The sequence below is a fragment of the Homo sapiens genome, chromosome 13 (assembly GCF_000001405.40).
Source record: "Homo sapiens chromosome 13, GRCh38.p14 Primary Assembly".
NCBI lineage: Eukaryota > Metazoa > Chordata > Mammalia > Primates > Hominidae > Homo > Homo sapiens.
The window spans coordinates 41,687,540-41,705,715 of NC_000013.11; the positions used below are offsets into that span (position 1 = coordinate 41,687,540).

The window sequence follows — 18,176 nt, forward strand, 5'->3', positions numbered from 1 at the left end:
GTTAGAGGGCTGGCTAGTCACACTTGAGCTCAAATTCCATTGCTTATAATCTTTGTGGCCTAGGGGATATAAGCTCTGTCTGTTTCTATTTTTTTCATTTGTAAAACCTCATAGAATTGTTGTAAAAATTAACTATCATGTATGAAAGGGCTTAGAGCAGCACACTGCCTATTCTGTTGTGGCCTAAAAGTATTACTGTCATCTTAAAGGCTGCCTAGCTGACTCTAATCTTCTATTTAACAAATACTCATTAAATACCTCCTATGTGGTAGGTACCACACTAAGTAGCAGGGATATAGCTTTTAATTTAACAAGGTCACTAGTGTTACAGGCTATAAGAATTTCTACAAGGTTAATAGAAACAGTGCCTTAACTTAGCTTTTATTTTCTAACTTTTTATAATAACATTATACTTCTATATTGATTTCTTCAATCAGAAGAAGGTAATTAGAAGATCAATTTTTAAAATAGTTTTATCTCCAGAAAAAGTCCCAATTTTTTTTTTACAGCAGCAAACATTGTAGAAAGCATATAAAACACATCTCTTTCATATCAAGGCTGCTATAAACACTGTATTTCAATAACGTTTCATTTTGAATTACATGATAGCAGATGCTTTTAACTTGATAATTAGGAAAACATACATCAGAGTCCTAAGCCACATTATCCATTGAGTTTTAGATTTCAAATCTTATATCCTGAAGTACCCAGCATTCATTAACTATATTAAAATGTTGAGGCATACAAAATTGGAGTACCGTCAAGCAGAGCCCATATTTTTATCTTTAAATAATTCTATCATCCCATCTAAAAGCTACAAAGGAAATTATAAAAATTAAATGTTTAGTCAGAACACATGGAGCTACATCTAAGGTTGTTAGATGGCAACTTGGACTGAAATAACTTTTATAATTAATTTCCCCACATTTCCATCAGAGGAAGATGTCGCCCAGTTTCACCTACAGTCAATTCAAATAGCTTCTCCTTTATAGGTAATAGGAGATAACAGAAGGGCCCATCTAAGAGGAAAATCAATTGAGACAATTAGCCATTATACTATAACCTGGATGCTGCAAAGATATGATAAATCAGAGCAAAACTCAATGGAAAATAAATCTATCTTCATGACTGTTGAAAATTTTAATCTACAATAATGACAATCCAACAAATTTAACTTTACACAGGAACAAAAAACCAAATATCACATGTTCTCACAAGTGGGAGCGAAACATCGAGGACATACGGACACAAAGAAGGGAACAACAGATACTGACACCTACTTGAGGGTGGAGAGTGGGAGGAGGGTGAGGATCAAAAAACTACCTATCAGGTACTATGCTTATTATCTGGATGACCAAACCATCTGTACAACAAACTCCTGTGACATGCAATTTACCTATATAACAAACCTGCACACGTACACTTGAACCTAAAATAAAAGTTAATAAATAAATATATAGAATGTGTAGATGGAAAAATAATTAACTTTAAAAAATTATAGAAGACATGACAGAAAATTACCATCAGAAGGTTAAGCATTTAAACTGTATTACATGAACCCCCACATATGGAGAATACTCATTTCCCCCTACTAAATTCTATCATTGCATTACGCTTTCAATGTTAATTTTTGAAGTGTAATGAAACTATTTAGGTATAACATATTTTCTACTGACTGATTTGGAAGGAAGACTTGATCCAACATGTTTACCAGGAAATTATGTTTTTAATTACCCCTCAAACAGGCTTACAGATTATAGGTCAAACTAAGGGAAAGAAACATTTATCCGATAATTTAAAAAATGGGTGCTTACCATGAGATCTGGAAAACCAACAACTATTGTAGCATAATTTTTCTCATCTGAGAGAATTCTGTTGGGAGAGGCAATCTTTTGTTCCACAGCTGAACTTAGATGTTCAGATGATAGTTGATCACTGGAAATTTTATGAGGTATGCTGAACTCTGTTTCTGAAAAGTACAAACATTAGACACCATATGCTCCTGAAATGCTCCAGGAATTAATTTTTTGCAAGATTTTATTCTCAACAAGTCAAATGGAAAAGAACAAGTTAAAAAAGAGAAAACATTTTAAATTACATTCATGGGCTTTTGTTTGAAAAAATGCTGTTTTTATAATCAAGGCATCTTCCCAAAGTGATTTCAAGTATTTACAGAATTCAAAATTTTATTAGGAATAAATATTATAATTAATAGCTCCCTGTAGAAAAGATGTAAAAACTGACCCAACCAAGGGTTGGCAATGGTATGTTTTAGATTTTTTTCGTAAGTACTATTCATCCCCCAAAACTGTGATAAATTAAATAGAAATCCCAATAGTCTGCAGAAAAAAGATGTTATCCTAAATTAGACTTGCAACCTAAATGTATATAAAAATACTGATCTGTCAGTTAAAAAAATTCAAGGACAGAGCTTACAACAGTGAACTTCCTTATGACAATTTGAGATACTAGATTCTTATTTACTATTTCTGGTGTAGTGACTAAGTTTTTTCTTTTGGTGTAAACTTAACATAGGCTGGTGTTTTGTTCTTAAATGATTCTAGAAGACAGTATATGTACAAGCATGCACTCACACAGCCATAAACACAGATGACATAGTATTTACCTTGTGTAACTCCAAACCCTGTGCTGGGCGGCTCCTCTTTCAGCACATACAACTGGCAAACCCCACTACCCTCAGATTCGATGTGTGCAGGCTTAGTTAAAAGATATTTCCTGCAAACAAACAAAACATCTAGCTTAAGTGAAATTTTTCTTTTTCTAATAGTAATAAGGCCAGACTAAGAAAAATTAGATTCTCCTCAGTCTCTTTTTTATAGTTCCAGTATAATTTGCAGTTTTAGAGTTTCATCATGAATTAACAAATAACTTCTCAACACTGTGTTAAAGAGCAGTGCACAACAGCAATACAGTAATGAATGTGAGGCAAAAATCCAATGCTTCCTATAAGAGAAAGGGTTGTGGGGAGGGGAAGCAACTCTAATGGGGTGCACTCTTATTATCATGTAACCCTCTCTTGATAAAACTCTTTGATCAGCCAGGAAGGGGGAGTATGACTTCTGATTTGTGATCAGCTAGGAGATAGATGCCCTCACAACTGTAGTCTCCTTGATCTACTTATTTTTAACATTTCTAAAATATGGATGTATATATAGGCAGAAATCCTCTGCAATGAGATACTTCTGCTTGTCAGCAGAGGGGCAGAAAGAGTCTGCACTTAGCTAGTGGAGTTGTGCATGAGGGAAGGTGCTCAAAGTCGACACCGCCTTTCATCAAGAACTGCACAGTCCAATGGGTCAGATAACATAAACATAAACATAACCACATCCAAACCAGAATACACAAGATAAAAAGAGAAAGACACTTCTAAGGTGTGAACTCTGTGAATTTACAAAGAGGCAACAGCTCTAGGATAGAGACTGTGGCTCTTTGAAGGGAAAATCTACTTTGAAGTGTCTCCAGTTTAGCAAGAATACAGTGAATTCTCAATGTACAAATAGGAAAAAGCCCAAATAAATATGGATCATATGAAAAAGTCATGATTTTTTAACTGTTAATTTCAATGTCATTTTCTGAGAAGTGACATTTATTTTTTCTCCCCTCCTCAATTCTTATAAGTCTCATATATAGAGATGCTGCCAAACACAGAAATTGTTAAAGGACAGACACAGGAAAGACAGAACAGTAAAGATGTTGGATAATTCATAAATAAGATTGAGCTACAACATACTCCATGATACACTATATAAAGCCACTCACTGATTTGTTTTGCTCTCCACCAGAAGCCATTTGTCCTCTGCTACAAGGAAAACTGTCTTGAGGTTGATGGGAAGTGAGATGGTGTGAGTTCGCCCTTCTAGAACATCCAGCACAGTCAGGCTGTTCCTGGAAAAGAAGAAAACTGTATCTGAAAGGAAATGGTGAGGATAATGGTTGAGTAATCTGGCATAATCATTTCATGATACATTATGCAACCCATAAAAAGAATGTTTTAAGATTAAGTAATAATATAGAAAAATGTTAATTAAAAAAACAGATATGCAAAATTCTAAACTATGTCAGGGTGTGTATAAGTAAAAATAATGGAAAGTAGTAACCATTGCCATGTTAGTAGTGGCTATGTCATGGAATTGTGAGCACTAGCTTTTCTTATATCTGTTTCTCAATATTCTGCAATGTGGGCAAGTTACTTTATATTAAAACATTCATAATTTGGTTACATTCACTTTATAGTAAACAAGTATAATCAAAATAGGAAATAGAATGGGCCAAATAAGAACTCCAGTTTAAATCCTCTATAATAAAGAGCTCACCCTTTTTCTTTGTAGAACACCAGCCAGTTTTTGTGTGAAAATTCTTTACACATTTTATAAGTTTCCTAAAGACAAACAAAACAAGATATTCATATTAAATGTGTCAGATACAGTCATGTCCCTCTTTAGCTACTTCCCCTTAAATAAAATAAAGTTCTTCAACTAGTAAAACATGTAATTCTCAAACAAGCTATCTATTTATCTGCTCTAAGACTCTTATGGTAAAATGGATTAAACTATATATCAAAATTTACTGTGAACTTTGTACTAAAGCCTCTTCAGAATAAATTTTTAAAAACAACACCAAACATTGTTAAGAAATAACAGGCTATCTGATGATTAACCATGGAATTTACACCATAAAATAAACACATGGGAAACACTTTGTTTCTTATATTAGGATACATTTATGACATTAAAAAAAATCACTCTTTTCATAGTCTTTTAAGACCTAAGTATGTTGACTTGCAGGGCAGAGGGTAAACCTTATTTTAAATCCATTATTTTTTTCTGAATGGCAGAATAAATTCTCTTGTGTTGGCCTAAACTATTTACTTACTAGTTTAATTTAGTTAATAAACTAAAACACTTATTTGTCTAATGGAGGAAATTAGGTATCATACTCACAGTTTCATCATATAAATCCAAAACATAACTACATAACTGGAAAACAGGTTAAATTGACTCCATGATCAGAAATTTGTTAAAAATACGATATTCAAATAGTTTTTAATTTTCTCTTATTGTTAGTCCAGTCCTGGCAAATCTTCATGCAAGTATAATGTCATAAAAAGAATTTATTGATATTTAATTATACACATATCTATGGTTATATATATCATGTTAAAATCTATACGTGCATAACAGGAAATTCTCTTGTGCATTACAACAAAAAAGGCACTTAAAGGGATGGGCATGCATGCATCTTTCTGGTTAGAAAGCTATAGAAATCCTTGGCAATTTGTGGGACAAATGTGGTGTTTCTTACAGCTTCTTCTTTGTTCCACCAGAAAGGTTTCTTAGATGTAAACTTCTCGGAAGGGAGGATGAGACGATGAAGGGCCCGGCCAGTAGTATCTAACAACAGGATAACATTACTCTGCAAATGATAAAAACAGTGAAAAGCTCAAGATTTGTTCTTTTTTTTTTTTTTTTTAAAGCAGCAACCTCTTGGCAACCTGACAGTGAAGGTTATAGTGATAAATCAAAACAAAGACAATATTGTAATACTTAAGAAATATCACAAAGACATTAAGTGATTTTTCTTAAGAATCACAAAGAATTAAGTGCTTCTTAATTTAAGAATTTAAAATTTTTGGTGGTTTTATGAAGACGTTTCTAAATATGTGATGCAGAAGGTATTCTCTTTAAATATTTTTATGTAAAAACCATTCCCTTTTAAATATAAGCTAGTTGAACCATGATTCTGTTTTATTATCTAGTTATAAGGAAATTACAAGGATTGATGATTTTAAGAAATTCATCTACCTGTAACAAAATTATACTTAGAGAATGCTCAGTTGAAAGCTCTCTTATATTGTGCATAATTAAATCTCATTTATCTTTTTCACAAATCCAGGTTCAATTTAGAAAATAGGTATAAAATAGATATAAAGAGGACTAAGCAAGAAATATGAAGGACTCCAAGAAACTAGCTAGTAATGAATGTTCCTTCATTTAGAAATTCACCAAGCTTGAAGAACCTTCATAACTGGTGCTGTAATAAAGTACAAACAACAGATTTCTGCAGCATTATTAATCACAGCTATGCAATGATGTAATCTTTCAGTAATTAGGATACGTTTTTTTAAGAAAATAAATAAACCTTATGTGTTGAAATAAATGAACTGAAATACATGAAATAAAAACTTAACATTGAGAAAGCCAGAAAAAATTAAATATTTTAAAGGGATGCAAAGAAGTTGGCTTTTTAGTTAAAATATAAAGAATTTTGAAGATTAGACTAACAGGTTTGCAGAAAGGTACCTGCAAGTTATTTGTCAGACCTCATTGTTATGCGGGTGTCTTTTCTTTCTTTGTTTTATTTTATTTTAAATGTGGGGCTCCTCCAGTTATCCTAACTCTTGTGAACTTTTCATTTCAAGAAGAATTTCTTTTGGAGAAAATAAAGTCACAAAGCACATGAAGAATTAATAAAAACCTTGAAAAATATAGAAAACAATAAAATGTGAAGTGTTTGTTCATTTTTTCCATAATATTTATTGAGGAGCTTATATTTAATATATAAAGAATACAACAATGAATTAATCATGACCCTTGCCTTCTGTCATATAATTTAGTTAGAGAAATAAAAAGAAATGTAAAAAAATGAATGATTCATCTGCAAATCTAGCATCTCAGTGTGGGTTTAATTTTATTTTACAAGCTAATTTTGTGGAAGTGTTCAAGAATTAAAATAGTATTTGCACCATATAACTCACTTCACACCATATACTCTGAATTTTATTTGTATTAAAAAATTTTACTAAGCATGTTAACCAAGCTTAAATTTCTTTCATAAACATCACCCTTAGAATGTATCATTCTGTATAAGATATAATTCTCCATTAAGAATGTGTGTTAGAAATATTCTTTTAAAAATTAACATATAAGAAGTGTCATTCACCACTACTTGACAGTTTTGAAAATGGTAATGATATCTTAGAGTTTTCCTTAAGAAAAAAATAAAATTAAGTTAAAAATTTATAATCTCTATTCTAGATTAAATATTTTTTGAATGAGTACTTTTTGATGGAAAAAATATTTCTTGTATAATAAATATGTACAACGTTAAAATGAATTCTTAGCACTTAAGCAATTTGGGATAATATTAGCCTTTGTAAGCAAAGGAAGTCCTAAAAATGTTTCATGCCCAAAAATGAGTAAGCATAAGAATAAGCAGTTGATTAAACAAATATGATCAAGCAGAAAAAGAAGTTAGTATCGTCTTCCATTTTCCTACCTTTTTAGGGTCTAATACTTACATATTCATAACATGGCATAAGTGAACTGAAAAACTGTATCTTTCTAAGTGACAGAAAACATGTATTTCCAGCCACTGCTGTATTTAGAATTAGTTTATAAGCAATTGGCAACATGAAGGAGTTCTGTTGCTCCATCCTTTTAGATGTTAATGGTTTCCTTCTGTAAATGACTAATGATAGATTCTGTCTGGGTTTAAAAATAGAATTTTGCGTCACACATGAGTACATGTAACTGTGGCTTTGGCACTCCTTTAAGGGGGGCAGGGAGGAGACGCGAGTGAGCAATTTTATTATGTTTGTATTTAACTGGGAGAAAAGTAACCTCTGGATGACCTCAATGTCCCTAAATCTGAAATTCTAAACTTTGTACAGATGTAATAAATAATCTCATGGGGAGTGGGGGAAGGGGAGGGTCTTTATTTTTAGGCATGGCAAAGTTTCCCTTTCCTTACTTAAGATTTTATTTTAGCAAGGAATTTTTGAACAACTTCTTAAACTAACCAGGGACATGCATCTGAGCAAAGCTTTATGTTAAAAAGGCAAGGAATAGCCGAATTCATGGAAGTACTTCTCTATAATATTTTGCTTCATTTTCAGTTAGGGTAGAATGAAGAAGAAGGAATTGATGGCAGTCTACTTATTTTTCATTCCACTAGAATTATTTATCAGTTGTTAAATTTCACAGCTGTGTGCTGTTCACATGGAATTTTACAGGTCTGACATCTTGACAGAGGTATATTGTAAAATAAGATACTCTCTCCGGGAAAAGAGAAGGCAGTTTAGAGGACAGGTAGAGAGGAAGTATACAGATAAGGTGTGCAGGTCTGCTCAGGGTTCCGAAGCAGTTTCCTGGAAAACTTGAAACTGTGGCCAAAGGGGTAAGTAAGGCAGTATATGAGGAGGCAAGATGCTGGCTATGGAAGTCAAGCACAGCTTCACAATGAAAATCAGATTTTCTTTCATGAAAGTAATTGAAATTAAATAAGGTATTAATCAGCAATGTTACCAAATAATTGGATCTTTTGAGGAAATAAAACTCTTGCTGAGAACCTACAAATCTGGCACTTTTATTAAAGAATTTGTGTATGTAAATTTGACAGTTAATTTGACAGCTGAAAATGTGGCAGGACTGTTAAAATAAATATTCCAAATGTAGTCTCATCCAATTTTGACTGATTTACTAAATTACAAACCACCAAGATATCATGTACCTTTTATGACACATTGTTTTGGTTATAGAGTTAAATTCAATGGCATCAATACTTTGTTGAAAATCTTTAAAGTAAAACCCTCATTCCAATTTTCAGGAGATAAAGTTTTATAAACAATATCTGGATGTTTATAAATTCTGCTCCTAGGAGAAAGTAAAAGTAAAAATAAAAAAGTGAAAACAAAATCAGAAAAATACTTATAACTCAGAATTTGTGATAATTTCTGGTGGCAAGGACTAAAGTTAAAGTTGACTTATTTCCTCAATGAACTACTGATATATTATGCAATACTTTTCTCTTGATTAGTGAAAGTATTATTTCTTGGTAGCACTTTGCTCTTTAAATATTCATAAGTAACAACACTGCATTTAAAAAATATTTTCCTATTATGAGTACTTTTTAATTTTCAAACTAATCTTTTTCCCCAAATCTGTAGTGAGTGAGAGAGTAGGTGATGTTTAATTCTGGTAGGGTCAATCCAATATGCTATGAATCTCAGTTCTGCTATGTACTTGCCAGACAAGTTACTTGAAGTCTGAGCCTCAGTCCTCTCATATGTAAATGTGGCTGAGAGCTACCCTCACTGGGCAGCTGGAAGAATAACATGAGTAATGTAAGCAATCTCTTACATGTTATGTCATCAGCATTTAACAATTGATCCTTATCTTTGAGACATTCATCACTTGCATTCCTGGATAACACACTCCTCAGCTTATCTATCTACTCTATTGGTCACTCACTTTCAAACTCATTTTCAAATCATTGATTCTTCCTCATCTCCCTGATTTCTTAATATTTTACTGCCCCAAGGCTTAGTGTTTGAACTTCTGTTCTCTATTTACATTCACTCCCTTGGTGAGTTCTTTCAGTCTCATGGCTTTAAAGAACATTTGTTAATGAATCCCAAGCTTGTATTTCCTGGTAGGAGCTCTCCATTGAACTCCAGTCTTATCATCTACGTGGATATTTAATAGACATCTCAAACTGAATCTAATATCATCTGAGCTTCCCTCCCAAACTGATTGCTTCCCCATCTTAGTCACTGGCAACTTCAAGTTGCTCAGTCCCTAAATTTTACGGTTGTCCTTTACTTTCTCTCTCACCCCAAATATTGGAATTGTTTGGAAATCCTGTTGGTTCTACCTTCAAAATATATCTAGAATCTGTCATTGCTTATGAGCCCCATCCTCCTCCAAACCACCATTATTTCTTAACTAGTTTCCCTCATTGTGCCTTAGCACCTACAGACTATTCACACAGAGCACCCAGAGAAATCCTTTAATCATGCTAGCTCCCTGCTCAAAACCTCCTAATGTCTTCCCCTTTTACTCATAGTCAGGACCCAGAAACTTCAACGGCCTACAAGACTCTACACCAGTGGCCCCCAACCTTTTTGGCACCAGGGACCAGTTTTGTGGAAGACAATTTTCCCACTGACTGGGGAGGTGGGGTGGGGGCTGTGTGGGGGTGTGAGATGGTTTCAGGATGAAATTATTCTATCTAAGATCATCAGGCATTAGATTCTTACAAGGAGCGCACAACCTAGATCCCTTGCATGCGCAGTTCACAATAGGGTTCACACTCCTATGAAAATGTAATGCTGTGGCTGATCTGACAGGAGGTGGAGCTCAGGCAGCAATGCTTACTTGCCCACCACTTACCTCCTGCCGTGCGGCCCAGTTCCTAACAGGCCAGGAGCCAATACTGGTCTGCGGCCTGGGAGTTGGGGACCCCTGCTCTGCACAACCTGCTTCTCACCACCCCCTTCACTTTGCCCCTACTCCAACCCACAGTGTAACCTCTTTATCTCACCTCCTCCTACTTCCCTCTTATTCAATCTTCCCCACTACGCTTCTTTAAAGATGAAGAGGCATGTTTCTAGACTCTGGGCCTTTAAACCTACTATTCCTTTTGTCTAGAACTCTCTTCTTCCAGGTACCTGTTCTCCTCTTCACCTCTCTAAAATCTTTGTTTAAATATCCCCCTTTCAATTAGACAATCCCTGCCTGCCTTATTTTAAATTGCAGTCTTATTCCCTCTTGTTTCTCACCTTCTAATTTAAGATATAATTATTTATTTTGCTTATTGTCTATCTTCCTGGATCAGAATGTAAGCTTTTGAGAACAAGAATTTGTGGGTATTTTTGGTCACTGCAGTATCCCCAATAGGAGGCACATGATATATATTTGTTGAATGAATAATATGCTTAGTGTAGTACTTGGTATATACTAGATAGATAATAGGTATACAAAAACATTAGGCTCCTTTCTATTGGTATTGTATAGATTAACTTAGACCTTTAGAATGATCACTAATTGAAGCACAATCTGTCTTCTGATATATGTGTTTTGTTTGGAATTATTTTTAGCCTGACTCCGGGCATCTGTGCTTGTCACTAGTACAATCTTAGTGTACTAATCCATAGTAAATGACGGATAGAACTTGAGCATCATTAGATACTGATGGATCTCACTGTATTCCCTTTGGTGTATTTACATGACTGTCTCTACCAAAAAACGTCATTCGGGTCTCAGATAAAATGTCGTCTCCTAAAAGGAAATATCTCAGCACTCTTTTTAATACCATTCACCTCAATTCCTCCTACCCCATCTACATCACTCCCTTGGACATTACTCTGTTTCTATATGTAACAATTATCATTACCTGAAACTGGCATGTTCATTTGTTGGTTTACTTGTCTATCTCCCCAAAATGAGTGTAAGCTTCATAACAAAGAATCATCTGACCTCAGATGTCAATAGTGTCGAGGTTGAAAAACCCTGACTTACCTGTTTCTAGAGGTATAGGTCATGTTGAAGTCTCTAGAGAAAAGAAGATATTAGCCTGCCTTTGTAGTACTGATAAAATGCAACTCCTGACCCATCCCTCCAGCTCCTCTCCTTGATCATCATGAAAGCACATCTTTTCAGTTATAGGTTTCTAATCACTCTTGCCTTTCATGTAAGTCATTCCTCACATAATTGTAGCCTGGTGTGCATTACCTGCTGCTCATGGAGAACCACTTGACCTTTGAGAGGACTTCCCAGCGGTGCCACTGTCACAAAAGGGTGCCAAACGCCATTGGCTGTTCTTGGGAAGATATCAAAAAAGTCCACAAAGAAGCCACTTTTCCCAGTCATATTCATAAAGTACAGGGAAGCGGGATTGCATGTAACTACATAGAGAGTATTTTGCTCATTTTCTGAAATGACAAAAAGGTGTTAATTTTGTGGCTGGCAACCAATTCTCTAATTGGCCAAGAGGTCTAGTGAAAACTGAATCATGAATACACAGCTGGAACAGAGTTGGAACTCAGCAGATGATTTGTATCATGGCTTGATTAGGCTGAAAAGACCATGAGAAACAACTTAGTTTTGACCCTAAATGTAGATAAGGTCACACCTACCTACTTGAAAAAATTGGTTATCTATTTGTTCCCCAAAGAATGTCATAATATCTTGTGATAAAACCATTAAATATTAAACAATCCTCAATGTCAGGAAATTCTTCCTTGTATGACAGTAACGTGCTTAGTGCTACAGTGAAGGTCTGTTCTCTTGTTGGTTCAGATGGACACCAGTTGGTCAATGTCTTCTATCTGCTAATCTTGCATTTTCCAGATAGTTACTAGCTCTTTAAGATCTTCTTGCTGTAAATAAGTAATTCCATTTAAAAAATCTTAGCTCTATGGATCTTATTTTCCAAATTTTTGTTCATATTTGAGTATTTCTTACTATAAAATCTCTGTCTTTTCAATCTGGGTACCTAAGTCCATTTCCTTCCATTTGAAGAAGTCAGTGCTTCTTCAAATTTCAAGTGCCTATGAATCACCTGGGGATCTAATAAAACTGCAGACTCTGCTTCAGGAGGTTTGGGGTGGGGTTTCAGATTCTGCCTTTCCAGCAAACTCCCAGGAGAGGCTAATGCTGCTGGTTTGAGATCCTCCCTTTTGAGTAGCCAGGCTCTGGACTAAGTTTCTCATAATCTCTTATGTGGGCACCGCTGAAGCAAGGGATTAAGCTACTTTTGCATAATGAATGGTATCAGCATCACCTATCACCCAGGTATCTATTTTACAACAGTCATATTTTCCAAACCCCAAATTAAGACATGAGATATGACAATAAGATACGTCATTTAAATTTGGGACTACCCTGGAAAATCTGGAACACTATGTGTGTCTGTGTGTGTATGCATCATATCTATTTATTATATATAATGATATATTATACATATCACACATATTATATATAAAGATACAGTAAATTTAAATAAATAAGTGAACTGATAAGAAACACAAGTCAACAGAAGGACTGAAAAAGACCTATTTTTTTAGGAGACAATGCAAACTGTAGATGTTAGTTTCAATTATCAGATAGAACCACAGAATTTATAATTTATGGATCTTTCATAATGCTTCCATTATCAACACAAATAAGTTCTATTCAACATTTATGGCATAATATAGGGCACTGGGAATACAGTAAAAGTGTTAACAGAAATGTACTTAATAAACTCTTTAACTGTTTTCTCTTTTTGCAGGCATTAAATGCAGTTCAGTCTTTGTCTTAAACATACAGATACAAGATTTATATTTATCTTTTACCAATTTAAGAAAAACTGTAAATTTTTAAAAGCACATATTTTTATTTAAAATAGCAGATTTGTGGAATAAACTACATCAATAGAACTTATAGGCATAAAGACAAGATACCAATTTTTGTCTCAACAATTCTCATCTTATCAAGTTAGAGACTCTCTCCCTTCCCCCAGCCACCACTTCTGTTTTTATCACCTTAGTAACTGACAGCAGTTGAGGAACTTCTGCCAAAATGTACCCAGGGTCCACTGCATGAATCAGTAGGTAATGGCAACAGTCCAGAAGTGTGGATGCCAAAAATTCACATTCTTTATTTGCCATCCTTTACAATTAGAAGTTTAATGACTGCAAATCACTCCAGCCCTACTTTCATGGTTCATGTAATCACCAAACTGGAATCCCAGCCAAAAAACCCAATGTTTCTCCTTTTTATTTTTCCCTTCTATTTTTAGCACATGCCTGGGTGTGTTTAACTTTGTGCTACAATTGTAATGAGAAACAGACATATGCATACAAACTCAGGAGTGCTTATGTGGATTCCACAATAGCATTTTTTTAGGTTGTTAGAGGAAATTAGTTCTAAATTACATATAATTGCTATCCAATCCAAGAATGACAGACACCAAGTCTATCATAAACTTTTTGATGTCTAGAGATTATTTTAATCCATCTTTTAAAAAAACATGTGCAGGAAGGAAAGATCAAAAGAATAAGCAGACATACCATGTGATGTAGCAATGTCACAGATTATATTAATTTCATCCAATGGTATTCTCCATGAGGCACATTCTTCAGTAAAGTTTAGGGATCTTTCTTCATGTCTTTCTATTGGATACTCCTGTATATTTATAAGTGCTGGACCCTATAATAAAGCAGTTATCTCAGTTAAGATATTTTGGTTGTCACCAAAATGTAGAAAAGCTAAAGTTCTTCCAAAATATAAACTTTAACATTCAAGTATTTAATATCCTGCTATACCTTTTTTCAATTTATTGACAGGCTTAGTACTCATAACAGTAATAGTATCACACACTTGCACTTATAAATGCTTTCACATGTGCTATCTTATTTAATTTCTCATTTTTTCTTTTTACTCACAAAATATACCAGATGTAAAATCCTATAGCATTTCTCATTTCTTCATTCCTTCCTAAGGCGAGAGCCAGTTTTGAACTCCAAGTATCAGGACGCAGAGCTGTCCAAACCAGGAGAATAATTCGCAAATGAATGAGCCAGAGCCTGATGCATTTCCATTGTGAAGAAGGATTTTTATGTCATTACACAGAAATGTAATGGTTAAACCTGGGTATTTTAAATTAAATGCAAAACATGTGGCATTTGAAATTTTTTAAAAAACCAAACTTACTGATAACCACTAGTGGTGACTTATGAAGGATAGAGTATTTCACACATGGTGATAATTATTCAATATAAATATAAGCAGAGGAGCTAATTTAATAATGTTAAGAATATTAGTTCTGGGTACTTAGATATGACTTCTTGAAAGAATGCTATAAATGTAAGCAAAAACCAGTGATTTGCATGCCCTACAGTCCTTAATTAATCAAAAATGTTTGGACTAGATATTGGCATCCATGTCCCCCGCCCACCACCCCTCTTCTATCTAGTCTATATCTTGAGGGCTAGGGAGTAAGAAACTGCATTTCTCATACTCTCTTTAAAAAGGGTTCTGGAAATGATTTAGGTTTTGCCAATTAAATGCACTTGAATGAGATTTGGAAGGCAGAAAAGAGGTAGTGGCCATCTTCCTGCAGTGATAGCAGACAAGGAGGCTCTGACAAAAATGAACAGTTGGATTACCACATGTCTGGGTGTGTTTCACTTTGTCCTACTGTAAGGGTTGACAAACTATGGCCTCCAGGCCAGGTCTGATCCACAGCCTGTTTTTTTTGTAAATAAAATTTTGGTGAAACACAGCCACTTCCATTTGTTTACGTACTGCCATGGCTGATTTTGCACTATACGGCAGAGTTGAGTGGTTGCAACAGAATCTGTAGGGCCACAAAGCCTAAAATATTGACTCTGTGGTCCTTTAGAGAAAATGTTTGCTGACACTGCTCTACTGTGCTGCCCTCAGCAGCAGGGATGACAGCAGAAGCAGAAATACTGATCTTGAAATTACAAGTCCAGTGTTGCCCCTCAACTTCTGTTCCTGCTGCCCTTTCTAATGATTTTACAAGCATCTACTTTCTCACAGTAAATTCCTTTCTGCTTGAAATACCTAGAGGGACTTCTATTACAACTAGTAACGGACAGTTCTTTACTTTACTTTCACATGAAGACTGAACCTGGCAACAATGTGTGGCTAAAAAGAGGCCAAAAATCAAAATGCACAAAGTTTTAATCCTATCAGCACAAGACAAATACCACAGAGCAACTTTCCTAGGAAAATATGTAACATACCTGACTCTCATCATCCAATTAGCTCTTTAGAAATTCTATTTAGCCTTTAGGAATTATCAACTGAGAGGCCAGCCTGATTTGAAAGTTAGAGCAGAAGCTAAAATAACATCCGAACAAATCATTTCTGAGATTGTTTGAATTATCTCCAGGGAAGATACAGCAAAATTTATAAGGTTCAATATTTTAAGAGAGAATAATGATGATATCAACCTTTATGTCTATATGATGAGTTTCCACTGGACACAAGAGTTTTTGCATCCCACTTCTTGCCTGACCAATTGTCCAGTAGCCCATGAACGTTTGTTCTGGCAGAGTCAACCTGTTAAGGATGATTTGCAAAGTAAATATTTCTTATTGTACCCAAGTCATAGAAAAAAATAACACGGCATCTATTATCAACCACACAAATAAATTTGAAGAGTGCTTTACTTAGAAGTGAGTTATACATCATTTTATTAAACGACAGTGTATAAAATCATGTTTAAAATATACTTTAAGACAAAAAAGATCTCGCATTTCAGAAACTAAGAAGGTAAGGCAAGGTCCTGTTTTTACCTTAATGACAAATACAATTGATTTACATACATACTCCTTTGAATTGCAGTAATTGAACATCTAAATTTCTGGTAGAGTATAGGAAAACTTTTCTTTAAAATTGGAGCAATCTATCAATTTTTTCAGTCTATTTTTTTTTTTTTTTTTGAGACGAAGTTTCACTCTTGTTGCCCAGACTGGAGTGCAGTTGTGTGATATCGGCTCACCACAACCTCTGCCTCCTGGGTTCAAGCAATTCTTTTGTTTTAGCCTTCCTGAGTAGCTGGGATTACAGGCATGCGCCACCACACCCGGCTAATTTTGTATTTTTAGTAGAGACGGGGTTTCTCAGGTTGGTCTCGACCTCAGGTGATCTGCCCGCCTTGGCCTCCCAAAGTGCTGGGATTACAGGCATGAGCCACCGTGCCCAGACAATTCTTTTAAATTTGGAATCAAATAATGAAGAGTACACCATACTACTAGTCCCACATTTGTATGTTGTATAGGGCAAGTTTCATAGACTTTATTTTGGCATCTTAATTTTTTTCACTTTGAATTAAAATATAAAATACATACTAAAATGTCCACATAAATGTCAGCTCTGCACACATGTGTAACAAGTACCCAAAGAGGTAGAGCATTACTGGCATCCAGAAGCACCTGTGGGGCCACTTTCAGCACTAATCCACCAAGGGAGCTAAATGCTGATTTCTGATGGAATCATTCTGTATTTAGATTCCCTTTTATTTAAAATGACTTTCAAATAAGGTGATTTGCCAAAACCAACATGGCAATACTAAAGTATAAAACAGCAGATAATTTTTTTTAAGTCTTCACTTTTTTTTTTTTTTCTTTGAGACAGGGTCTCACTCTGTCACCCAGGCTGGAGGGCAGTAGGGCAATCACAGCTCACTGCATCCTTGAACTCCTGGACTCATGATCCTCCCACCTCATCCTCCTAAGTAGCAGGGACTACAGGCATGCAAAACTATGCCTGGCTAATTTTTTTATTTTTTATTTTTAGTAGAAGCAGGGTCTTGCTGTGTTGCCCAGGCTGGTCTCAAACTCCTGGACTGAAGTGATCCTCCTGCTTCAGCCTCCGAAAGTGCTGGGATTACAAGTGTAAGCCAAGTCTTCACTTTTTAATCATACTATCTTTTATTTGAGTCTTTAAAATAGGAACCATTGATTTGTCATTTAATGCATTAGAAAATTAGTGATTCAGAGTTAAAAGCTCTTTAAAAATAATATGCACATGGCTACAAATTGAAATGTATCCTTGGAATGAGTTTGATGATCATTAAAAGAACACGTTTATATTTAGAAATTATTTTATTTAAAGTAAAAAGTAGTCTGACATAATATTTCCATATGCTTAATAAGATCATGTAAGGCTAAGATATTTTTTGCATAAAATAATGGAAGCAAACATTCTAGTAGAATATGCTTTTCGTCCCTTTTGAATGCTAATGTTTATCACAAGAGGAACGAAATTAAAAAGAAATTTACATTGAAATTCTTCTAAGTCATATGACATAAACCTCTCAAAAGCACACACACACTTTTGAATCTATCATCTAAAATATATTTTAAGTATCTGTACAATTATCTCAATCGGGGACCCACTTACTTCCATCTTTTTACCAGGAAAGAATGTGTGTGTGCAGGGGGTCGGGGGAGGGTACTGAATTAGGGGAATAAAGGGTTTTACAATTACTGTGTTCTCTCTTTTGAATGTAATAAAAATACATTTCTGTGTTAATAGGCCAGATCTTGAAAACATAGACTGGGATCTCTCTCTTGGTTTAGGGAATAAACTATATTTTACATTTGCTTTCAGCAGTTCACCAAAGGAGAATTGGGGCTCCAAATGTAGAAACAGAAAAATAACAGAAGGAGATACACTTAATATTCTGCCAGCATAGAAGACATAATGTAACAGACTGCAAGAGATTTGGGTTTTAGTTCTAGTTCTTTTATTAACCTGCTATATAAACTCGGGAAGGGGAAAGTCCATTGTTTTCTCTAAGTATTAATTTTTTTTCTTTTTTTGTCTTTTTGACTTTGCTTGATATTAATTTCTTCATTT

The 18,176-nt window shown here is 34.6% G+C and overlaps 1 protein-coding gene across 1 annotated transcript in view, besides 1 other annotated feature; it reads right to left on the minus strand.

Moving 5' to 3' along the window:
- VWA8 (von Willebrand factor A domain containing 8) overlaps positions 1-18,176 on the minus strand; it is a 394,275-nt gene that overhangs the window by 120,705 nt on the left and 255,394 nt on the right. Inside the window, exons 27-34 of the mRNA NM_015058.2 lie at positions 15,764-15,872; positions 13,853-13,991; positions 11,532-11,731; positions 5,323-5,433; positions 4,335-4,399; positions 3,781-3,906; positions 2,627-2,736; positions 1,815-1,969 (exon numbers count right to left, since the gene is read on the minus strand). Of these exons, the coding sequence (NP_055873.1) occupies positions 1,815-1,969; positions 2,627-2,736; positions 3,781-3,906; positions 4,335-4,399; positions 5,323-5,433; positions 11,532-11,731; positions 13,853-13,991; positions 15,764-15,872 (1,015 nt within the window). The remainder of the gene's footprint in view (positions 1-1,814; positions 1,970-2,626; positions 2,737-3,780; positions 3,907-4,334; positions 4,400-5,322; positions 5,434-11,531; positions 11,732-13,852; positions 13,992-15,763; positions 15,873-18,176) is intronic.
- Positions 9,034-9,113: a silencer, noted in NCBI's record as "silent region_5292". NCBI's record gives its function as "represses an Ori minimal core promoter by ATAC-STARR-seq in GM12878 lymphoblastoid cells {active_cell/tissue: GM12878}" and the evidence as "EXISTENCE:reporter gene assay evidence [ECO:0000049][PMID:35858748]".